Source organism: Homo sapiens, chromosome 6 (assembly GCF_000001405.40).
Source record: "Homo sapiens chromosome 6, GRCh38.p14 Primary Assembly".
Taxonomy (NCBI): Eukaryota; Metazoa; Chordata; class Mammalia; order Primates; family Hominidae; genus Homo; species Homo sapiens.
In genome coordinates, this window is record NC_000006.12 from 2,947,853 (window position 1) to 2,972,480 (window position 24,628).

The following is a 24,628-nucleotide window of genomic DNA, read 5'->3' on the forward strand; positions in this document are numbered from 1 at the left end:
GTAGCACCCCATTTCACCCCATTCTCTCCCTAGAAGTGGGATGAGACTCCACTACTGAGTAGAGGAGACAGAGAAGCACCATGTATCTTCCTGTGCCAAGGAAGAGTCACACCACCGACCTCAAGGGCAGCTGTCTGCCCACAATGAAGTCGTGGGGTCCCCATGGCTGTGGGGGGTGGGCAACACCTCCCCCAAGCAAGGGTGAGCTAGGTGGTCATTGCCGCCCCTACTAACATAACCCAGACCCAGAGCAGCAATTTCAGATCCTAGGAAACATCTCCCGTGCAGACACACAAACACACGGAGTGAATGCGGCATCCCACAAATGGGCCCTTTATTTCTGAACTGCCACCACTGCACGGATAAGGCCACTTGGGTTGCAGGCACACTGTGGAGTGTCAGGGGACAGAGAGGAGAGGGGCTGCACACCAAGACTGCCCTGTCCTCACGGAGAGGAAAAGCGGCCGCAGAAGAGAATCCCGTTGGTCTTGCTGTGCTGGATGAAGAAAAGGAAGGGGTGGTCGGCGCAGAAGCGGGGGACGAATCTGGCACACCGCATCATCATGATGGCAGCTGTGGCGGCTGCAGCCTCCGTGCCTTCCTCATTGACCTCCACAAAAGACTTGTGCACGACCTTGGACAGAGACAGGTCTGTCTGGGACATTCCAGAGAAGTCTGCCTTGCCCAGCTCGAAGGCATCAGTCATGCCCAGGTTGCGCAGGACACTCTCCATGTCGTAGCTTTCCTCTAGTTTAAACCGCGGGAGGGACACTTCCACCTCCTCTTCATCCATCATGTCCAGCCTCGTCCATTCTACGAACTTCTCGTAAGTGAGTTCTTTCTCCACCTAGAGGGAGACAGTTGAAGACTTTAAGACCCAGGGTGCTGCTGCCCAGCAGGGCCCTGTGCTATGCTGTGGATGCCAGACACCAGTGGCAGCGTGGCTATGGTCAGCAGCGCTCCAGTGTTAAACGGCTGACCGCAAAGTAGGGACAGCAGCCACAGCAGACACCCCCGAGTGGCTCCTTGCTAGCACGCCTCGCTCACAGCTTAGCTGTTACCGTTCTCAAGTCAGTGGTCTCGTCCGGAAGCATGATGATCATATTCAGTTCCTTGCCAACATATGGAAGCACCAAGATTTGGGTAAATATTTCTCCTATATAGGTCTTCTTAAAAGTAGATTGCTTAAACATCATTTGCACAGGTTTCTCCTCATTCTACAAAGAAAACAGATAAACATCAAGTTGAAACAAGACCCCACTGACACATGGGACAAATGTGTCGGAGCTGGCCACTCTCTGCAGGGAGAAACGCAGCTCGGTTTCTCCCCAGCTTCCAGAACACCCGGCAGCGCCTGCTCTGCCATCTTCATTACCTCAACCTCCAGAAACTGGGGTGCCCAGGGCCCAAACCCAACGTGTCTTTCCTCTCATTGATCGCATTCAGTCTCATGGCTTTAAACACAATATCACACCAAATTTACCTCCCGCCTGGGCCTCTGCCCTGTCCTTGGGCCTCCTGCATTTTACTGCCCACCTGCACCTATGTTTGGACATAAAAGAAACTCCCAGCGCCACCTGTAATGCGGCACTCCGTAGATCCTCCAAGTCGGCTCTGTCTACTGCAACTCTGCCCATCTCAGCTGAGGGCAGTGCCACTGTCCAGTGGTCAAAAGCCCTGGAGTGCCCCTGACTCCTGTCTTTCTCTCACACCCTGTGTCTGACTCACTGGCAAATTATATTGGCTCTACCTCGAGAATATAACAAAATCTGACCTGTTCCTTCTGCCTCTGCTGCTACCAGCCTAGCCCTGGAATATTGTGATAATATGATTGTGATTGTTCCCAGCACAGTGGCCAGAGGGGCCCGGTAGAACCTAAGGCAGATCACATTGTTCTTTGGCTGGACACCCTTCCCTGGCTCCCCATTTACTCGGAGCAGGAGCTGAAAGTCCCTAAAAAGCCTGGAATTGTGATAAGAGCTCGTCCCCAGTTCCCTCTCCCTTTGCTTATCTGCTACAGTCACAGAGGCCTCCTCACTGCACTGCCAGCAAACCCAGTTCATCTCATCTCTACGCAGTAAGCTTGTCCTCCAGAACCTGGAGAGTGAACTTCTGCCTCTTTACGGTCTTTGTTCAAAAACCACCTTGGCAGAGAAGCTGTCCTTGATAGATCTTACCTGACCCTACACTCCCACCCCAAACACAGATTCCTATCCCCTCCCTTGGTATGTCTCTGTACCATTTACCACTGTCTAATATGCTCCTATTTTCTTATTTATGCTTGCTGTCTCTCCCCCAAGAAAACATAAGCTTCACCAGGGCAAGCATGCTTTGCTTGTTTTGTGCATGGCTGAAAAATACCTAGCACCATGCCTGATACATAGAAGACACTCAGTCAGGTTAGGCATGGTGGCTCATGCCTGTAATCCCACCATTTTGGGAGGCTGAGGCAGACGGATCACCTGAGGTCAGGAAATCGAGACCAGCCTGGCCAACATGGTGAAACCCCACCTCTACTAAAAATAGAAAAATTAGCTGGGCATGGTGGTGCGCTCCTGTAATCCCAGCTACTCGGGAGGCTGAGGTAGGAGAATCACTTGAACCCGGGAGGCAGAGGTTGCAGTGACCCAAGATTGCACCGCTGCACTCCAGCCTGGGAGACAGACCGAGACTCCATCTCAAAAAAAAAAAAAAAAAGGCACTCAGTCAATCTCTGCTGAATAAATGATAAATGCATAAACGAATTAATGAGCTGGGATGCTAAAAAGGCCAGGCAACATTTACACATCTCACCAGAAAAAACTGCACTGGTCACCAACCCCAGCCAGCCAATGAGAAAGACTGGAGGCCAGGAACCACACCCCATCCAACAATCCCCCTCAGTTCCTGACTCGGAGCTGCTCCTGTGAGTTGAGTAAATACCCTGCAATAGGCACAGTCAAAGACGCCGTATGGTCCCCAGTCTCTGGTGTAGCACATTCTTCTGTGTTAAATGGAATAAATAAAATACACTGCGGCGGCAGCTTTCTGCTTTCACGTGGTAGAGGCTCGCCTGGGCTGGCCCTTAGCCTTTGGCTAGAGCAGTCTCCTGGGCCTCGGCTGCCCCACTCATTTCCTTGGCCAGCAGTAGGCATGTTTCTTCCATAACTGACCAGACAGGAACTATTTTCCGGTTTGTGGCTACATGTACCATCTCCGTCACAACGACTCAGCTGTTGTTACAGGATGAAATAAGTAAGTAAATAAGCATGGGCCAGGCGTGGTGGCTCACGCCTGTAATCCCAGCACTGTGGGAGGCCCGGGCAGGTGGATCACCTGAGGTCAGGAGTTCGAGACCAACCTGACCAACATGGTGAAACCCCGTCTCTACTAAAAATGCAAAAATTAGCCGGGCATAGTGGCACACACCTGTAATCCCAGCTACTCAAGAGGCCACGGCAGGAGAATCACCTGAACCCGGGAGGCGGAGGCTGCAGTGTTCCGAGATGGCACCACTGCACTCCAGCCTGGGCAACAAGAGAGAAACTCTGTCTTGGAAAAAATAAAAAATAAAAAAAAAAAATAAGCATGGCTGTGTTTCAGTAAACCTTTAAAAAAAATTAGGTGGTGGGCTGGCTTTGCTGTAGGCTGAAGTTTGCTGACCCCTGCCTTCAGTAATTCCTCCCTGCACCCCTTCAGGGTCCAAAGCCTCCAATCTTGCAATATAAAAAGATCTAACCTTAGTGACTGAATGATTCACTAAATACACAATTATATAGACAAGTTCCAGTTTATATAGAAGGTAATGAAATTAAAATAAGAATCTGTATCAACTCAAAATCTGTGCCCTTGGAGGTACACCTCTGGCCTCAGGCTGGTACGCTCAATACTGCAGCCCCTTCCTTCACCCTTCTTCACTGCAGAACTCAGAAAGCATGACGGGATTCCACATCTCCCCAAACCCACAAGACCTATAGTTCTGGCCTACACCATATAGAAAGCAGCTTTCCCTTTCTGAAACGCAGAACCACTAAGGGGAAGGTTTAGGCTCCCCTCCCCTCCCTTGTTCCTCCCCCTCCCTGCCACCGGGACTGCTGAAGCCAGCTCAGCCATCTTGTGACCATGAGGAAGAAGGCGACGTGCTGAGAATGGTGGAGCCGCCTCCCTGGGATCATCGCCCCAGTGCCAGACCAGCCCAGGTCTCACCTGCCTCCAGACCTCCTAGCAGGGGAGATGAGCTCCTAGGAGATAAACCATGGTGAACCGGGGTTTCTGTTATCTGTAGTCAAAGCCCTTGTACATCTTGTTAATCATTAAATTTTAAAGAGAGAAATTATTTTGCCAGGGGAAAATAGCACAGTTCATTTCAGAATAAAGCTTCAAAGAAAATAATTCTTTCTGAATTGCGAGGAGAACAGACAATGAAAATAAATTTCTTGAAAAACTGAAGGCTCAAGTTCAAGTTAGCCTGGAAGATCTAACTATGGTCAATGATCAAGAATACACTGTAATTAATCTATTCTGTTTACTTTGTCTATGTTCAAAAATTTCTATAGTTAAAGAAAAACAAAACAAGAGACAATAAAGAAGATTCAGTGAGAGGAAGATAAAGGGCCATCAGCAAATGACATCTTCCACGCTGGAGGTGGTTAATCTCAGTGTCTATCTACATGTTTGGTTTGGTTGTTTTAAAACAAAAATCTGTACTTATCCTTACTATCAAGAGAGGACTGAATATCACTCATCGGTTCAGCATTTACTAAGCACCAGCTACGTGTCTGGCACTTGTCAGAGAGTCCTCCCTGCTCAGCCTCAATTCAGCAGGCTGAGTTGTTCCGCTCCTGCAGTGTGGCACGGAGGCCAGCAGGAGGCGCGGTAGCGGGGCTTCCCGGGACGCCGCCAGAAAGAAAGGAGTGGGTAGGTCCTGATGGGAATGAAGCTAGAGAAAAGGAGGAAATGTCCGCTAGAAGATGGCACGCCATATCTGGAGTCTGAGCTTTAAGACCTTGATCGAGCCTGAGGGCTGCAGCTTCAGACTTGCCCTGTAGGTGGCAGGGCGGATGCCAGGCGCCCAGGGACACGAGGCCACCCAATGGATGTCAAGCAGGAGGGGCAGGGACAGAAAGGCCCCACGGCTGCAGACGCGGGAGGCCCCGAGCCGGAGACGCTCGTGTGAACACAGGCGCTGCTCCTGTCACGGCCCCTTACTCGCCTTGCTGACTTTAAACAGTCTCTCCTCGGTGTTCTCCTTGTCAAACTGTTCATCCCAGTTTCCTCTGAAATAGACAGCATTCACCAGAACCAGCCTTGTCAATGGATCCACTGAGCCCGGAGAGAGCAACTCCGCAATTTTACCTGAGCGGAAGAATTCAAGACCGCATTAGATAGGGGCGGCTGCGGATCCCCGACACATCAGGAATCGGCTGGGGCCTTCTCCTTCAGCAGTCAAGTGCACGGATAGAGAGTTCCACTGTCCCCCAAATATAAAGGGATACGTGTCCTTAAAGCAAAACAACAAAATCTTCTGGTACGAAAAACATCATCAATTGAATAAAACACACAAAGTGAACAAATATGCGTTAATTATGCAGGATGAGTTCCTAACACATGAGATAAGAAGCAATCATGGGTGCCTATGACTTAAAGACAAGAACTTAAAGGATTATCAAAAAGGTGGGCAGTCAGAAGATGTTCTTTACAAGCTTAAAGAACAGTTAGGCCAGACACAGTGGCTCACACCTATAATTCCAGCAGTTTGGGAGGCTGAGGTGTGAGGATCACTTGAGGCCAGGAGTTTGAGACCAACCTGGACAACATAGTGAGGCCTTGTCTCTTAAAAAAAAAATTTATTAAAATTAGCTGGGCATGGTGGTGCTACCTGTAGTCCCAATTACTTGGGAGACTGAAGCAGGAGGACCGCTTGAGCACAAGAATTGATGCTGTAATCCCAGCACTTTGGGAGGCCAAGGCGGGTGGATCACGAGGTCAAGAGATTGAGATCATCCTGGCCAACATGGTGAAAACCTGTCTCTACTAAAAAATACAAAAATTAGCAGGGCATGGTGGCACGTGCCTGTGATCCCAACTACTTGGGAGGTTGAGATAGGAGAATCACTTGAACCTGGGAGGCAGAGGTTGCAATGAGCCAAGATTGCACCATTGCACTCCAGCCTGGGCAATAAGAGCAAAACTCCATCTCAAAGAAAAAAAAAGAAAATTGAGGCTGCAGTGAATTGTGATTGTGTCACTGCATTCCAGCCTAGGTGACAGAGGGAGACCTTGTCTCAAAAAAAAAAAAAAAAAAAGTTTAAATTAAGAACCACAGATAGACCAGGGCGTGACCCAGTGTCCCACAGCAATGCATGGCAACTGTAGACTGTGCTACCCAAGAGGGAGGCAGCTTGAGATCCACACTGCGAATTTTTTATGTTACTTGTGAAAGGAAAAACTATATTAACATTAACACACTAACCCCCTCCTCAAAATTAAAACGTGGATTGATCCAGAAGAGGTATACCAAACACTGAAAGGCATCACGGGTACACCAAGGAAACAGGGAGAAATCAGAGAGAACAGAACACATTGAGCATTTCCAAAATGTCAAATAATGGCAACTGATTTCAGAAGCAGATTTTTTAAGTTTGCAGTTATTCAGAGAAAAAAAAATCATTCCTGTTTACAATTGACAGTCTTGTGAAGGAACTGACAATAAAATGGATTAAGAGGTTATTACAAAAGTAGAATAACAATACATTTTCACCTTCTGTCTTTTCAGCTACCCAGGTGTTTATGTGTTTTCTGGACTTCTCTACGGCGCTGATAAAGTCAAGCTCCTCCATCTCTGCTTGGTAGAATTTTTGGCAGGAATCTCTAAAAGACTAGGATAGACAGAGTGACATAACTGCCTGGCTACAAAAATGATGAACACCAACGGCCTACTTCTTCATTGCACCAAGTCAGAAAATCTATAATTTTATGATTGACATACATAATTTACAAATAAATATGAGGACTTAACCTAAACTACAACTTCCTAGCTTTAGCTATATTTAATCCTAGCTTAAAAACTAAGTCAAGGTCAGGTACTGTGGCTTACACTTGTAATCCCAGCACTTTGGGGGGCCGAGGCGGGTGGATCGTGTGAGCTCAGGAGTTCGAGACCAGCCTGGCCAACATGGCGAAAGCCCGTCTCTACTAAAAATACAAAAATTAGCCATGTATGGTGGCATGCACCTGTAATCCCAGCTACTTGGGAGGCTGAGGCAGGAGAATCACTTGAACCCAGAAGGCGGAGGTTGCAGTAAGCCGAGATCAGGCCACCACACTCCAGCCTGGGCGACAGAGCGAGATTCTGTCTCAAAAAAAAAAAAACAAAAAAAAAAAAGCAAAAAACACTAAGTTGAATCAGTCTCTGAATATCAAACGAACTTCACCAACTGCTGGATCCTTTAAGGGAGCAGCCATGCATCAAGGAGCTGCCTGACAAGATGCTGACAAGACACTTCAAAAGCGTGAAGTAGATCCACCTTATTGAAATGCAGAGAATTTAAAACATATTGGCAGGTGAAAAGAAATTACAAAAGCCTATGTATGGCATAATGGCATTTAGAGCCACACGCTTCCTGCTGGGCCCCAGCCCCCACTACCTGGCCACCTTTATTTCTTTAGTGAATAAGAGCAAGTATGACTTACTGAGAGGAAATCACAAGACTTTTCCCCAAAGAGCCTGTTGGCCATCCTAAGCAAGTACTGCGTGCCAGTCTTGTTCACTTCGGTGAGAAGAGACTGGAAGCCCTGGTGGATGTCTCCACCACCGCCACTTTTATTGAAAGAAAGTATCTGAAATCAAAAACAGAATGAAAACAAATCATTCCTGTATGCTCTGACTTCAGGAAATGGGGCAACCCCAAACTCAGCCTAACAACCATCCAGACCCTTATTACTGCTTAAAAGATCTATCCGAGGCTGGGCGCAGCAGCTCACGCCTATAATCCCAGCACTTTGGGAGGCCAAGGCGGGAGGATCACCTGAGGTCAGGAGTTCGAGATCAGCCTGGCCAACATGGCAAAACCCCATCTCTACTAAACACACAAAAATGAGCTGGGCCTGGTGGTGCGTACCTGTAACCCAGCTACTCGGGAAGCTGAGGAAAGAGAATCGCTTGAACCCGGGAGGCGGAGGTTGCAGTGAGCTGAGATCGTGCCACTGCACTCTAGCCTGGCGACAGAGTGAGACTCCGTCTCAAAAAAAAAAAAAGATCCATCTGATTAAAGGCCAGAAGGGTCTTGAAAGCCCCTCCCTGTACCCTGTCTGTGCTGGCATGAGCTGCAACGCCCTCCACAAACCCAGGCTCCTGATGCTCAGTACTTGGAGTCTGGTGGCAAACAAGGGTGCCAACCAGACCTCCTGTCTATACAAACACAGGCCGCCCCTGACATCAGAAGGGGCAGACTCCCTCCTGCCCGTGGCTCTGGAATGCCCGTGTCACTGGCTCTGACTAATGATACAGTAGGTAGAATTCAGTAGAAGTGATGCTGTTCCAGGCCTAGGCCCTTTTTAAAAGGCCTGACAGCTGCCATGTTCACTCTCTTGTACCCTGGCCACCATGACAGAAGGAAGTCCAGGCTATCCTGCCGAAGGCCACATGGAAAGCCCTGGAGAAGGTGCCATCACCTGTAGAGAGAGTTGCTTGAAGAACTGAGGCCTCTAGCCGGGCGTGGTGGCTCACACCTGCAATCCCAGCACTTTGGGAGGCCGAGGCGAGTGCATCACCTGAGGTCAGGAATTTGAGACCAGCCTGACCAACGTGGAGAAACCCCATCTCTACTAAAAATACAAAATTAGCCTGGCGTGGTGGTGCATGCCTGTAATCCCAGATACTCGGGAGGCTGAGGCAGGAGAATCACTTGAACCCGGGAGGCGGAGGTTGCAGTGAGCCGACATCGCGCCATTGTGCTCCAGCCTGGGCAACAAGAGCAAAACTCTGTCTCAAAAAAAAAAAAAAATCGAGGTTTCAGGTGTGAGAGAGGCCTTCTTGAACCTTCCGGGCCAGGTGTCCACTGAAACAGCTGCATGAGTGACCTGCACTGCTTCCTGGGAGCAGTCCTGCCTGCTCAGGCCACGGAATCTGAGAAATAATCAATCATTGTTATTTCCAGCCACTAAGTTTGGGATGGTTTGTTTTGTGGCAACAGCTGACACATGCAGCCATCCAGAAGTGGAATTCTGCCATGACCAAAACCTAAAACATGTGGACTTGGCCTTGGACCCAGGCAGCTGGCAGAGGCTGGACGGACAGGACGAAATGACTCCTGGGGGCTGGAGAAAGGGGGCTGTGTGTGTACCAGCTGAAGAAGTGGAAAGAAGGTCACCCTCAGTGACAGGGAGGATGGAGTGCCTCCCCCGGGAACTCCTGCATCTGGCTAAGGGGTCCAGGAGGAAGCTGGCTTCTTTTTGCTGCCTAGGGTAACACATGGGAAGAGAAAGATGAAGGAACTGTTCCATTTTCAAGCAGAATTTAAAGGAACTATTTCCAATCCAGGATGTACTGGGTGGAGAATAAAAATGTTTCTTCTTCCCAGCCTTTCCAGCTGGCAAAAGATTCTAAAAGAGATGGCCTCAGGGCAAAGATCAAATCCCAGACACTGGCCTCAAGGGTGAGGTCCAAATCCACTTTGTTAAACCTTAGAAGATTCAGACAGCATCTTATAGACCATCTGGCAGGCTCTCCCATGGCACCCTGACTCCCAACCCAACAAAGAGCACTCAGGATGGCGGTGGGGGTGCTTTTGTCCAGGGAAGCAGAATTTTAAGTTGATAGAAATTCCACAGTGGTTTTCAGGCACTTGTAACAGCTTGGACTAAAAGAGAGAGACGGCTCAAAGTGCAGGGAGGCCTCTGGGTGCCCACGTTCTACAGGTGGGAGGTAGGCTGGGAGCGCAGCAAGCACGGGCCATTTCTTACAGAACAGGAAAGGAGCTGCCAAGAGCGACACCAGGACACAGAGGGCAGAGCACAGCCAGGGCAGCAACGGACAAGGGACAATTCTGGGAAGCTGCAGTGGAGGCTCATCAAGGAACACCCTGCACCCAGGGCTGAGAGGTGAACAATACATGCCTGGCTGGGCTTGGGAATTGCCACTGCTCCGTGACGGCCACGTGCCTCCCACGCCTACTGTGATGGGCTGCATGTGTCCCCTCAAATTTACACACTGAAGTCCCAACTCCAGTGTCTCAGGATGGAACTGCATTTGCAGAGAGGGCCTTTACAGGGGTGATTAAGGTAACATAAGGCCATTAGGTTGGGCTTTAATCCAATAGGACTCATGTCCTTATAAAAAGAGGAGATGAGGACACAGACACACACAGAGAGATGACCATGTGAGGACACAGGGAGAAAACAGTGTCTACAAGCCGAGGAGAAAGGCTGCAGGAGAAACCAACCCTGCCTACACCTGGATCTCAGGCTCCCAGGGAACCACCAGGTCCAGAGGGCAGACCACAGCAGTCACGGGTGGCCCCGACCAGCTACATCTGTGGTGTGCGCACCCTCTCTCAACCCCTCTCAGGCGCGGAGATGCCTCTGCCTTTGGCAGTGGGGCCTTGGCAAGCAGGACACAGGCGGGGACGTGATGGGTACTTGTTTCAAGCCTGTCTTCTGCGAGCACTTCCTCTCAGAACCCAGCCGCCAGGCCTACGGAAGCCCAGGCAACGCTGCTGAAGGAAGCATGTGGAAGGCCCCAGCGGAGAAGGCCACGGAGAAGACGCCCAGCGCCCCGCTGAGCCCCCGCTGACGCAGCCCACAAGGGACCCACCCAGTGCCAAGTGGTGCAGAAGCACCACTCAATCCACCCAGATTCAACAACCAGGAAAGCTGCTAAGCTGGGAGAGCTGGTTACACAACAACAAATAACCAGAACGCTACTGAAAACATGTTTAGCTGACAAATGCCATTCTAAGAAGGCTTTACGCGTAAATGAGAAAATAAAGACTCCTAACAACCAACAAGCAGATGACAGTACCCAAAGATCATCACAGGACTCAACCTGAACCTTGTGACTTTACAACCATCTACAAACTCACGAACAAGCTAAGCCATGTGATGATGAAATCATTCATTCCTCTGAATCGGGCGCCCCCTCTCCACCCCAGGGGGTCAGTCAGGGTGTTGTCCCCAGGGTGCTCCAGCATGGGTGGCATGCCCTTCCCTGTAAACTCGCCACCCACACCCTGCAATACTGCACAGTCATCCGTCTCGAGCGATCCCTTTGGGATTTGGAATAAGGAGGACCAGCTAACTTGACAGTTAATAGCACCATGGCTGCCCTGAAGCTGTACCTGGGCCATCTGTGCAGCGGTGTTTCCCTTTGCCCCCATGTAGACCATGGCCAGGGCACAGGACATGCTCATGGGTGAGAAAAACACATTCTTCGAGTTGTCTTTACCCAGCGTTTTCAAAAGGTTTAAGGCAAAGGTGCCATTTGCTTCTGCGAGAACATCCATGATGGCAGACCTGGAACAAGATTTAAAATCAGTATCACTTAAGCACAGCTTCCACGCGACTGCATCTCACGCGCCTTACCGACAGTCACCGCCGATGCTGTGGTTCAGTGGGCAAGCAGAAACACACACAGAACTCTGGCTGTTTCTTTTTAGGACCCTCCACATTATTTTGTGTGTTTCTAATGTTAAGTGTGGAAAATGAAAGAGTTCTATGTGAAACGCCGCCCTGTTTTGTGAGGACTCCTCCCTGCACGCCTGCCCGCACGTGGAGAAAGTGGGAAGGAGGCACCCTTTCCTGGAGTCTCTTCCTTGGGGTGGAATTACAGAAGGGGCACTGGCTTTTGCTTCTATGTTTGTATTCTTTGGTGTGTTTTGCGGGCTTAAATGTACTGTTTTAATTTGAAAAATATTCAAAATGATACATTCACTGACAGTTACACAAGAAAAGATGGCCAAATGTTTTTATAATGAGAGAGAGAATCCCATTTCTGGGTAGCAAGAGCCTTAAAAAAGGATCAATCAAGCCACATACAAAGATGCGTGAAAGCCTTTCAAATGCCTCCTGACCCTTGGATCTCCTTCTAGGAAATCCCTGCAGGTGGCAAAGCCCCAATTTTGGACCACGCTTGGGGACATCCTGCTGCAACAAGCCAGGCCTTCCTGCGCCTGAACTCACAGCACACTCAGGACACCACCTTGCCTCATGGGCTGTGGGTGCATGCCCATCTCCACCTTCACAGACAGGCTCAGGGGTAGGGTCAGGCTGCACATCTCTCTAGCCCTGCCGTGCAGTGGGTGTGGCAGCCCCAGCAGGGTCCAGAGCAGGAATGCAGCTGGATAGTCGGGAGGGGGGAGCTGGGGTATCTTCAGGCAAGTCGGAATCACAGAATCACATGTTAAAGTCCACCAAGCCCTTAGAGAGACCTACCATCAATGCCCCACTGCACTACAGGGAAGGTGAAGTTGACGGAAGTGAAGCTAAGAAGTAGCTGGGCTTGAAACGCAGGGCGGATGCGCTTTCTGAGCTGCTGCTCAAGAAGAAGAATCTGCAGAATCAGGTGAGAGGACAAGGGGCAGCTAAGGGCCCCACAGGCAGTCAGGCTGGGAAGGAGGGGATGCAGGAATGCAGGGATGCGGGGCCTGCCTGCTCTGACACAGTTCTCAGATGTTTACCAAATGAATATGTCCCAGTCAGAGAATGCCAGCATTCTAAGACAGTCCCAGTGACTCACTTGAGCAGTGAGTGGGAACCCACGGAACAAGGAAGGGGAGAAGCTGGAGCAGACATTTCCTGGAGCAGATGGGAGAGGGAAGGAGGTGCCTACTGGAGGCCCTGTGAGGAGATGCTGAATTAAGCGGCTCTCCACTGTGCATGCCTTTACATTTGGAGCTGGGGTTGGCTGAGCAAGTGCTCCAAAGATACCTGGGTCATAATCCCTGGGACCTGTGAATGCCCCTTACATGGCAAAAGGGACTGTGCAGCACGATTAGATTCAGGCTCTTGAGATGGGAGATTATCCTGGATTGTTCCAGTTGACCCTAAATGTAATCACAGGTATCCTTCTAAGAGGGAGGGAGGGGGAGATCTCACGGGAAAAAGCAATGCAAAGAATAAAGCAAAATGCCACTCCACTGGCCTTGAAGATGAAGGGCCTCAAGCCAAGAAACGCAAGGACCACAGCTGCAGTAGCTGGAAAGGCAAGGAGGATCCTCTGGAGGAGCCTGGCCCTGCGGAACCCATTTCCAACCTCCAACCTCAGAACTCTGAGAAAATAAACATGTGCAGTTTAGCCACGAATCCATGGTCATTTGTTACAGCAGCCACGGGAAACCAAGACAATAACTCATACACCTGATAAAGCTTGTTTGCTGTGCTTGTTTAAATATTTTGTTTTCAAACTCTTCTTTATTCATTACACAGAATACTTGGGGCACTGGGCACTCCTGGCTTGCCAAGCCTTTCCAAACATATTTTAAGATTACTAATTTCTAATAAAAGGACAATAGAAAGTACATATTACTAAAATTCTTCTGAATATAAGGGAGTCTTTGATGATACATAAATAAATCCAGGATTCCGCAGAGCCCTGGGAACACCAGTATAAACAAAAGTAGCCATTACACGGAACTGAAGCAAAATTGGGCCTATTTTTGGTTCTTTGGATTCTAGATCACAAGAACTGCCCGCTTATCAACTTGAAGAGAAACAATTGGTAAAACAGGGAAACTTCTAGGTTAAGAATAAGAAAAGAGGAGATGCCCCAAAGCAAGAAGCACAGCCTGTGAAGTCCGTGTCTCAGGACTCAAAGCCAGCAGACACCCTGACACGTGGGGTTTTCCCTGGCCTGGGGACATGGACTTCTGTCTTTGTCCCCAAGAGGGCTCAGCCCACGTGGAGAGGCTGCCAGGTGAGATGGCTCCTCCATAAACCAAAAAAAAAAGACAGAGGTTAAGTACCATGTCAGCTGGCCAGGGGAAGGTCCCACATGCTCCCCCAACCCCATCCTAGACTATTCTACCGTCAGCACACGTTTTCCCCTCAAATGCTGAAGGACTCTTACGCTTTTTTTTTTGTAGAGACAAGGTTCTTGCCACCTTGCCCAGGCTGCTCTCCAACGCCTGGCCTCAAGTGATCTTCCTGCCTCAGCCTCCCAAGGTGCTGAGATTACAGCCATGCACCACGCCCAGCCTAAAGGACTTTTAATTCAAATGGAAATGTCCACCTAAGAAAGGCTAATAATAAAACACTCCGTCTCCGGTAATATCCCGGAGAATCTGTTTCAGGCGCTGATCTTTATATCAGTAACTTCAACAAAGCAAAGCCACCTTTGTCTGAAGACACGCCCACTGGGGAGGTGCCTGTCTGGCCAGCCCAGGTTACACCATCTGGGGCAGAGGAGAAGTCGGTGCACATGAGTTTCACTGTGTCAGGGGATTTAATTTGAAATACTGAACTGGAGAAACCAAAGCAGGATATTCGGAGGAGAAGTCAGTGCACATGAGTTTTACTGTGTCAGGGGATTTAATCTGAAACACTGAACTGGAGAAACCAGACCAGGATATTCGGAGGAGATGGCACGAGTCAGGAGGAAGACAGGGTCTCTAGTCCTGGCTCTGGTACCCTGGGCAAATCACTGGACTCCTGATACCAGTTTCCTCTCTGTATGAGGAAAAGCATATACCAGATAATCTGGGTTCCCTTCCATCTCTAACATTCAATAATTGTTAATACCAAATGCAGAAGGAAGAGCAAAAATGTAGCTCAATTTTCAAAGCCCACAGTGAGGTCAGTAATGATATTCCATTTCTTAGTTGAAAACACTGCTGACAGCCGTGAAAGGTAAAATTCTATCTATGCCTTACATAAAAATTGCTGAGCAACAAAGAAACAATAAATCAAGGATGTCCTAGAGATTTAATTTTCTTAGCAGAAACTATGTTAGTCATTAAATAACTGAATATCCTACTCCTGATAAACACCCTTACGTCAAACAGCAAGTGGTACTTCCCATGCTTCCTTAACAAGGTAAGAATTACCTACTTCAGCAGCCACCAGCACAGCTGATGATAGAACATTAGTCCCTTAACTCCCCAAACAGGAACAAGATAAAAATATCTGTCGTCCCAACCTTGTGTAACTTTGTTCAGATAGTTCTGGCAAAGGCAAATACAACTCATGAAACATAATGAGAAAGGAGATTGTCAGAAAGGAGACAAAATGAGCACAGTTAGCAAACAATTTGATGGTCTACCCAAAAAGCAGCCAGAATCAGTAAAATACTCTTAAAACTGAAAAATAATGGAGTAACTGGGCTACTAAAAAAATAGGAAAAACAGACCCCAGTAGAAACACGTGCAAAGGACATTAACAAATTTACCCCCAAAAAAGAAAGACAATAGCTAATAATTATATTTAAAAGTTTCAACTTCAGAAAAAAATATCACTTTTTTGATATATACTATGTGCTAGGTCCACACTGAAAGACCCTTACCCTCTGAGATAGCTGCTGAGAACACCTACGTTTTATAAGCAAAGAAATCGGGCCTTAGCTCTTTAAGTACCATGTCTCCAGAGAACCCAGGGCAACAATGGCAGAATGACGGCTGGAAGCCAGGACCGCATGGCTCTGTAGTTCACTCTCTTAACACCATGGTGCACAGCCTTCCCAAAAAGCAATGGTGGAGAGTACATTAAAGATGCCTTTTCAAACCATGAACCTTGCAAATACAAAAACAATTCATGCTAATACTGACAAAGACAGGCAATCCTTCTCACGCCATGCAAGTAATACGGAGGCAGCAGGGACAGAGCTTGGCCCGTACCCACTCCCGTATTTTCCATACATCCCCCACGCCATCACACCTGCCCACCAGACCATGCAAACCAGGGAGGGAAACAAGATAAGCCATGTTCCACCCCAAATCTTACCCAAGGGAGTTAAGCCTGATGCCCACATGCATACAGGATCAGAACGACGATCCTGACCTCTTGCCTTGTTGTATTACTAAAACCCTCTCCTCAGGGGCTCATCTGCCATGCCCTGATCATGACACATCTGTGCTAACATGATGTTCCCCGGTGCCTGCCACTAGCGTGTGTAATGCTGCTGACACACCTCATGACTATCCATGTCACCCTAAAACACCAGGAACACCTGTCCCGAGGGCCAGCCCGGGAACTCCTGCCCCTGTGCCGCTGCCCTCCTGCTCCAGCATAAGCCCATTATAAAGCCTTGTCTGGGACACTTTCTCTGTCTCATGTCAATTTCCACTGCATGAGAATCTAAGAACCCACGATCAGTAACAATACTGTAAATTGGTACACCAGTATTTCCTGAGTATGATTTAGAATTATGTCAAAAATAAAAGTAAAATACAATAAAGTGAAGGAAGAAAAGAAAATGTCATGGAAACATTCATACTATCTGAATTAAAAATTCCACTTCTAGGAATTTCACTGAAGGTAAAACTCACAGGTTTTGTACATAATAAAACATTATGTACAACATTATGGGATATAAATAGGGCTAATAATAATAAAAATCACAGTAATGACATGGGAATACACAAGATTACATTAAAAAAGATATAAAACTATACATACAATTTAAATTTATCCATGTAAATTAGGAAAAAAGGTAAGTGTAGGCACAATTTACAGACAGAATAGAGGGAAATACTATACACCAAATGTTTCTAACGGTAATTTTTATGTTTTTTGTGTTTTTCTGGATTTTCACATTTTCTATAGCATATAATTTATGGAGGGGGTTGGTTAACTCTTCTTTTTATGAAATTACTATATATACATTCAGTTTAAAAATCAGGTGGTGTTAAAAGAGATGTTATAAAAGACAACAAGCTCCTTCTCAGCCCTCCCAACTCCCCAGAAGCAATCACTTCCAAACCCTTTGCTCTTTCTTCTGGTATTTACCACCATATTTCTACATAACGTGTATACTACTATTTTTGACCTAATAACTTTATCATGTTTTATTTTATGTATGTATTTATTTTTATTAGGGTAGGGGTCTCACGCTGTCGCCCAGGCTGGAATGCAGTTGCATGATCACGGCCCACTGCAGCCTCGAACTCCTGGCCTCAAGCAATCCTTTAGCGTCAGCCTCCTAAAGTGCTGGAACTACAGGCACCCGGCCAAATTCTAGACATTATCTATTGCCTTCCTAATCTAGAGGCCGAGGGCCCGGTCCCGATCCACAGGTTTGCTTTATTATCACTAAATAGCATTCGATGCTAAGCCAGGTGGTGGGATGGGAACCCATTTCCTTTTTATGTAATGCTGATTTGCCTTATATTAATAGTGCCTTTCCCCCCTTTCCTTAGTTTTCTATGTACTATGTATTTTCAAATTCTCCCCAAATGTTCTACAGGTCAGTCAAACCCTTTCAGTACTTTTTTCATATGCTTCGACACAAGGAATAATCTACCAGCTGCATTTTCCTCTCCCTCCGTCTGTCACCATGCTGCTGAGCATGCGCGACTTTCACGCCGAAGAGAAATGTTCATAGACGGGGACAAGTTTCCCTACTATAATACATGGCCAATTTATAGTTTGGCAGGCTGGTCAGACTAATTTTTTTTCTCAAACACAGCACATTGCTTACAGGGCAAAGAAATTATTTTTTCTTATTTAAGTGTTGATGACATATTTTAATATGTCTAATTTTTTAATGCTTTATGCAAACTTACAAATTGCACAAACCTTAGTAGACTTTTGAACTTCTACAAATCTGATAAATCAAGACATATAAATCTAGTAAGCTAGCCTCTCCTAAGACTTTCAAACAGTACAATGATTACAAAACTTATTTCTATACCTGTACTTATGTCTAGCAAAAGTTATTCATTAATATCACAGATTTAATTATTTTATCTTTGTTATATTTTCCTATTCCTTTCCTAAGGTAACACTAATGCTTATTTTAACAGTTTCCTATGGGGAAAATTAATCTTATGGGGTTAAATCCTAAGGGATCATCCCTTTCTGTAAAAACAGGGTGGGGCTCCCTGGTTCATGGTCTTTGTGCATCAAAGCAGTTTCTCAGCACAGGGCACACACTCTTTGATGCCAAGCATATCTGACTAGTTAGGGCAGCTTTGAGCTCCAATCCTGCCTTCACTGAGATTTTATAAGGCCTCAACCAAACACCAAATTTCAGTGTCTTGTAGCCTGATGTCCTTCCTTAAAATGAAATACGGAGTTTTCCTCTATCTGAGTTGCATAGACCAGTGTTGTATGGTATAACTTGGTCTTTTTGTTGAATGTTTAGGCCTTTAAGTTGGTTTTTACAACTACTGTGTTTGTTAGCCCAGGAAGCTATAATAACTAAACTTTTTCCATAGCAATCCTAGACACAGTGCAAACATTACTGAATTCTTTTGTGCCTTTTTAAGGCTCATCTTGTTTGCCTCATCTGAACTTATTAATGAGCTTGGGCTTTTTACAAACAATATATTTCAATTTGCTGATGTTTTTTTTTCTTCTTGTTCTAATTGGCTGGTGGGAATCTCTTTAAATTAGTTACTTTCCCTCCAAACACACTTACTTTATATGCAGGAGTCCCCAGCAGATCCGTCTGTGGTCTGTTAGGAACTGGGCCACGCAGCAGGAGGTGAGCAGCAGGTGAGCGAACATCACCGCCTGAGCTCCACCTCCTGTTAGGTCAGTGGCAGCGTTGGAGTCTTGTAGGAGAGTGAACCTACGGTGAACTGTGCACGTGGTGATCTTGGTTGCATGCTGCGTATGAGAATCGAATGCCTGATGATCTGAGGTGGAACAGTTTTATCTTGAAACCATACCCCCAACTTTATCAGTGGAAAAACTGTCTTCCACAAAACCAGTCTGGTCCCTGGTGCCAAAAAGGTTGGGGACCATTGCTTTAAAGCAACAGCAAAGTCTTACCAAACCATTTTAGATTTTTCTAGTCCAAAGACTAGATATGATAGGTGCACACCACCACGCCCAGTTCATTTTTATTTTTTGTAGAGACAGGGTCTCGCTCGGTGGCCGAGGCTGGTCCCAAACTCCCGGCCTCAAGCTATCTTTCCACGTTGGCTTCCCAAAGTGCTGGGATTATAGGCATGAGCCACCAAGCCTAGCTTGGGAAAAAAATGTAAGGCACTTGCTGATTTCCTCCAGACTGGCTCTTTGTTCTCTTTTTCTGTCAAGTACAAAACTCTTAGACTGATATCATCTGGGACTTCTCACCTTTCTCCAGGCTGTGACACACACAGAAAATGATGTTTGTATGTCACTTTGGGGCCAGGCTACTCACCCCAAAGGTGACCAGTGCAGAGCTCCAGCCACCCAGACTCCTCGAGTTGGAGGGATCTGTTAACCTGCCCAGGGCACAACACCCACACACAAGTTAGAAAGTTCTGCTCTGGAAGACTGAAACTGGACCCCTTCCTTACATACACCATGTACAAAAATCAACTCAAGATGGATTAAAGGCTTAGATGTAAAAGCCAAAACTATAAAAAACCCTGGAAGACAATCTAGGCAATACCATTCTGGACATAGGAACAGGCAAAGATTTCATGACAAAGATGCCAAATGCAATCACAACAAAAGCAAAAATTGACAAATAGGATCTAATTAAACTTAAGCACTCCTGCACAGCAAAAGAAACTATCAACAGAGTAAACAGCCAACCTACGGAATGGGAGAAAATATTCACAAACTATGCATCTGACAAAGGTCAAATATCCAGCATCTATATGGAACTTAAACAAATTTACAAGAAGAAAACAAACAACTCCATTAAAAAGAAGGCAAAGGACATGAACAGACACTTTTCAAAAGAAGACATTCATGCAGCCAACAGCCATAAGAAAAAAGGCTCAGTATCACTGATCATTAGAGAAATGCAAATCAAAACCACAATGAGATACCATCTCACGCCAGTCAGAATGGCTATTATTAAAAAGTCAAAAATTAAGAGATACTGGCAAGGTTGTGGAGAAAAGGGAACACTTACACACTGCTGGTGGGTGTGTAAAACAGTTCAACCATTGGGGAAAGCAGTGTGGCGATTCCTCAGAGCTAAAAACAGAACTACCATTCAACCCAGCAATCCCATTACTGAGTATACAACCAGAGGAGAGAGGAATAGAAATCATTCTCCCATAAAGATACACGCACGCGAATGTTCACCGCAGCACTATTCACAATAGCAAAGACATGGAATCAACCTAAATGCCCATGCATGGCAGATGGGATAAAGAAATTGTGGTACATATACACCATGGAATACTATGCAACCATAAAAAAGAATGAGATCATGTGTTTTGCAGAAACATGGATGGGGCTGGAGGCCATTATCCTTAGCAAACACACGCAGGGAACAGAAAACCAAATACCGCATGTTCTCACTTATGAGTGGAAGCTAAATGATGAGAACGTGGACACAAAGAGGGGAGCAACAAACACTGGGTCCTATCAGAGGGTGGAGGGTGAAGGGTGGGAGGAGGGAGAGGAAAAAATAACTATTGGGTACTAGGCTTAGTACCTGGGGGATGAAATAACCTGCACAACAACCTGCGACATGAGTTTACCTATGTCACAAACCTGCGTATGTATCCTGAACCTAAATAGAGGTTTAAAAGGTTAAAAAAAAAAAGAAGAAATCATATAAATGAATGTTCTCTTCTGACCTTATTCCCTCATTTACACTTTTCATCATGATATTTGATTCCATTTTGCCTTCTATACTAATTCTTTGGATACCACAATTATAGTTTATTGAGTCTTCCGTTCCCTGCGCTGCCTATCTCTGGGGTCCTTTTGTTATGGTGGCTGGTGTTTGCTTTATTTTATTTAGGTCTCTCTTTTGTACCTAGACTTTCCAAACATTCCTAACAACCCTTGGATGTCAGTACATAGTTAAGAGGAAAACACAAACAATGCTGGAAGTTCTGTTTACATGGAGGAAGTTCTGTTTACATGGACAGGACATGTCAGCTGGGAGCTTCACTGCAGTGTGCTCAAGGGATCAGCAGCTTTTTTGTCCGGGAACCAGCAAATGGGAGAACTCTTCGGTGTGGCTATCGGTGGTGTTCTGGAAGGAGATGGGGTGGAAGCAGATGGGGGTCGGGGGGCTTCTACTGGATCTGTAATCCCCTCACGTCCCCACTGCCTCCCCCACAGTGCCTGCAGGACCCTGAGTTTGAGCATTTTCATTATCACTTCGCAATAATGCATAAACACTGAACAATTAATCATAAAAAAGATTGGAGAGATCCAAATCCTAAAAGGAAAGAAAAAATAAATCCACATTTAAAGTTTACCACTCAAGATACTCCAAATATCAACAAATTATAAACAATCTAGTGAGATTTTTCTATCGAGGGCTTTCTGTTATCCTTTCAGCAAACGTGTGAGTAACAAGGATGCCTGTTTCACAGTCACGTTGCAAACTCAAGACCTGTCAATGGCTTTTTAAGGACCTACTTCTTTAGCTTCAGTAAATAAGATAGCTAAGTGTCCTTCATATATATATGTGAATACACATGTATATATGTACATAGACAAATATTTATGCAAAATTAATTGTTTCAAAATTTAAAAACTATACCATTTAAAAATAAAAAATGATATTTAATCACAGACATAAAAACTGGATATTAAAGTCTTATTAATGAACAATTTTATGTATTTTTTAAACAAGCCTAACAAATCTATCCTGGCATCACTTTTTTTTTCCTGTAGCATCACCAGTAACTGAGCAATGTTCACAATTGATTTTATTCAACTAATCAAGTCTTAATTTTTTTTTAGGTGTCACTATTGAATTGTGCTTCTCAACTTCTATTAAGGATGCCTTTATTTCCTACTAAATTTAACCATTTAAAGACTGGTTTAATGGAAACTTGGACTTCCTGCTTTGTCCCTCTGTTTCCTTGTGCAGTGTGTATGTGTGTGTGTGTGTGTGTTGTGTGTGTATGTGTTTAATATATCTGAGCAGCCTAACATATAAATGGGAGTTAAACATTATTTTCAGGCTAGGCGCAGTGGCTCACATCTGTAATCCCAGCACTTTGGGAGGCCAAGGCGGGCAGATCACGAGGTCAGGAGTTTGAGACCAGCCTGGCCAGCATGGTGAAACCCCATTGCTACTAAAAATACAAAAATTAGCCAGGTATGGAGCCCGGGAGGTGGAGGTTGCAGTCAGCCGAAATCGCACCACTGCACTCCAGCCTGGCAAAAAAAAAAAAAAAAAAAATTTTCTTTCTTTGGATGCCTTGGCTTAATCCCAAGTGCAGTAAGCCTGGAAATGTAAGGTGTGTGGTCTTCCCTGGGACCGTACAACATCTGCTTGGGTGCCCTTATTATTACATATGTGGAAAAGAATGTTGGTTCTATTCATGCTAATTTCACTCTACTGTTACTGGTCCGTGTTAACTGTTTCATGCTGAATTGTAATAAAATGCATTGGAATTGGCCTTAACTTAAAATACTTAGTTTACATAGTCGAGTATGACCAAAGTACTTTTCTCTTTGGTGGCACATCACAATGGATGCAATTACTCAGATACGGTCCTGAAATGAGAACAAACGCCATCTATGCTGATAACAGCAGTCACTGGTGTTAATCCCAGCACACATAAAAGCCCCAGCAATACAAGGCCGGCCCAGGACCTTAACTAGAAGGTCACTGAACACATCAGATCTCATCGCATCAGGCCTGACCCCCACCAGAAAGGATGCAGGCAGCTGCAGGGCTGTCATTAGGCACGAGAGCATCCCAGAAAGCAAAAGTGCCCAAAAAATGGACTCAGATGCCCCCTCGCATCTGAGTATTCCTGACAGCATGTGAACATTAATTATTAATTTTCTGTACCTCAGTTTTCCGAAGCCAATCTTTAGGACAAAAAAAAAAAAAAAAAAAAGGAAGAAAATAACTTAAATGCCAATTTGTAGTTAAAGTTTCCTCTTTGCCTTGAAGACATCAAAGCCTGTAATAGTTTGCCTGTAGGGAGTTTAATTCAAACACAGAGCGGTAAGGAGATCCGGGCTGGTCCACACGATCGTCTCCACAGGTCTGGGCGACCTGAAAGTGCTGCGGATTGGCCAAGCCCAGCACGGCCAGTCCAGTGAACACACGCAGGGGGCCCGGATGGCACCGTTTGGCGCCGAACCCCTCGGCCTCTCTCCGCCTCCCGCCCGGCTCCTAACACCCGGCGCCCCAAGACTGAGCACGCGTCCTCCGGGTCGCGGAGCGGGCGAGGGGTCACCGAGGCCGCGGGGCCGACCGGGGTCACCTGTGGCCCGGGAGGCTCTGCGCCGCCCCCATCCCGCGCCGGCCGCCTCTTCCGTGGGCGCTGGGCCTGGGCGCCCGGGGTCCTCGGGTCCGCGGCGTCACCGGCCGGGCTCGCGGCCACGCACGACTCACCCGGCCGCGTCGCCGTTCTCTGCCGCTGCGAGGCTCCGGAAGGGAACCCAAGCCGGACGCTCGCCCGGGCCCCCGCCCCGCTGGGACTGCTGGGGTCACAGCCCCGCGCGGCCACGCCCCATTCTCGGGGCTCCAGCGTCCCCGCGCGCCGTCGACCCACGCGCGTTCCCGGCCCCGCGCGACCCCCACCCTGCCCCCCTCCCCGCTCGCGCCCCCGGCTTTCCCGACTTTGGAGCGACAAACCCAAGCCAGCGTGTCCGAGCGGCTCCCAAGCCAGACACGTACTCCAGAGCGGGGAGCGAGCGAGCAGAACGGCGGGCAGAGGCGCCGGAGCCGCCCCGGACCTCAAATACTCGCGGGGAGGCGGGCGGAGTCCCGGGTCTCGAGCTACCGTCGCCCGTCCGGAGCGCGAAGGGAGAGGCGGGGCGGGACGTGCGGGTCAACCCCACCCGCCAGCCGGAGGGGCCGCGAGTCCTGCCCGGAGGCCTTGACTTTGACCACAGTACAGGGCCCCACCAGCGTGTTTATGGTGCCTCTGTGGAGACTGAATGCTGGCCTGTTTCCAGAAAAGGGCCGGCTCCTGATACACGGCCATCCACTGGGGAGTGCAGAACACGCATTTAAAAATGAGCAGACTAGATACAGGTCACAAAGACTTTGCTGATGAAACAGCTTGCGGCAAAGAAGCCAGCCAGGGGCGGGCGCGGGGCTCACGCCAGTAATCCCAACACTGGGAGGCCGAGGCAGGCGGATCACTGGAGGTCAGGAGTTCCAGACCAGCCTGGCCAACATGGCAAAACCCCGTCTCTACTAAAAATACAAAAATTAGCCGAGTGTAATGGCGCGTGCCTGTAATCTCAGTTGCTGGGGAAGCTGAGGCAGGAGAATCACTTGAACCCGGGAGGCAGAGGCTGCAGTGAGCCGAGATGGCGCCACCGCACTCCAGTCTGGTCCGTCTCAAAAAAAAAAAAAAAAAAAAAAAAAAAAAAAGTAGACTAAATAGCTTTTGCAAAGCAAAAGGAATAGTCAAGCAGAGTAAACAGACAACCTACAGAGTGGGAGAAAATCTTCACAATCTATACATCCGACAAAGCAGTAATATCCAGAATCTACAAGAAACTCAAACAAATTAGCAAGAAAAAAAAATCCCATCAAAAAGTGGGCTGGCATGAATAGACAGTTCTCAAAAGAGGATATGCAAATGGCCAACAAACAAGAAAAAATGCTCAACAT

At 47.2% G+C, this 24,628-nt stretch overlaps 1 protein-coding gene across 25 annotated transcripts, besides 2 other annotated features; it reads right to left on the minus strand.

The window, feature by feature from the left end:
* On the minus strand, positions 307–23,941 carry SERPINB6 (serpin family B member 6). Of its 25 annotated transcripts, none has more exons than XM_011514672.2 (9): positions 23,681–23,715; positions 20,927–21,061; positions 18,548–18,738; positions 11,316–11,490; positions 7,672–7,818; positions 6,740–6,857; positions 5,192–5,334; positions 1,062–1,217; positions 307–847 (listed from the first exon to the last, which is right to left on the minus strand). In XM_011514672.2, exons 2-9 carry the CDS (start codon positions 20,957–20,959, stop codon positions 446–448), a joined length of 1,365 nt encoding a protein of 454 aa, XP_011512974.1. In that variant the 5' UTR covers positions 20,960–21,061; positions 23,681–23,715; the 3' UTR covers positions 307–445. The 25 variants fall into 25 exon arrangements, 24 of the variants coding, with proteins under 24 accessions (XP_011512974.1, XP_047274841.1, XP_047274843.1 ...); XM_047418885.1 differs by having other exon boundaries at positions 23,639–23,715; XM_047418887.1 differs by having other exon boundaries at positions 23,396–23,715.
* Positions 11,977–12,592: an enhancer, noted in NCBI's record as "H3K27ac-H3K4me1 hESC enhancer chr6:2960063-2960678 (GRCh37/hg19 assembly coordinates)". NCBI's record gives its function as "activates a minimal SCP1, AML or CMV promoter by ChIP-STARR-seq in naive H9 embryonic stem cells {active_cell/tissue: H9 hESC(naive)}" and the evidence as "EXISTENCE:reporter gene assay evidence [ECO:0000049][PMID:30033119]".
* Positions 23,496–24,020: an enhancer, noted in NCBI's record as "H3K27ac hESC enhancer chr6:2971582-2972106 (GRCh37/hg19 assembly coordinates)". NCBI's record gives its function as "activates a minimal SCP1, AML or CMV promoter by ChIP-STARR-seq in naive H9 embryonic stem cells {active_cell/tissue: H9 hESC(naive)}" and the evidence as "EXISTENCE:reporter gene assay evidence [ECO:0000049][PMID:30033119]".

Excerpts from the sequence above, each read along its gene's own strand:
- SERPINB6 (XM_011514672.2), bottom strand. The coding sequence starts at position 20,959 with ATGTCCTGTCCATGTAAACAGAACTTCCTCCAT. Across the intron at positions 7,819-11,315 it reads CCGCTGCACAGATGGCCCAG|ATACTTTCTTTCAATAAAAG; the intron begins GTACAGCTTCAG and ends TTTTGATTTCAG. Across the intron at positions 6,858-7,671 it reads AGTCTTGTGATTTCCTCTCA|TCTTTTAGAGATTCCTGCCA; the intron begins GTAAGTCATACT and ends TGTCTATCCTAG.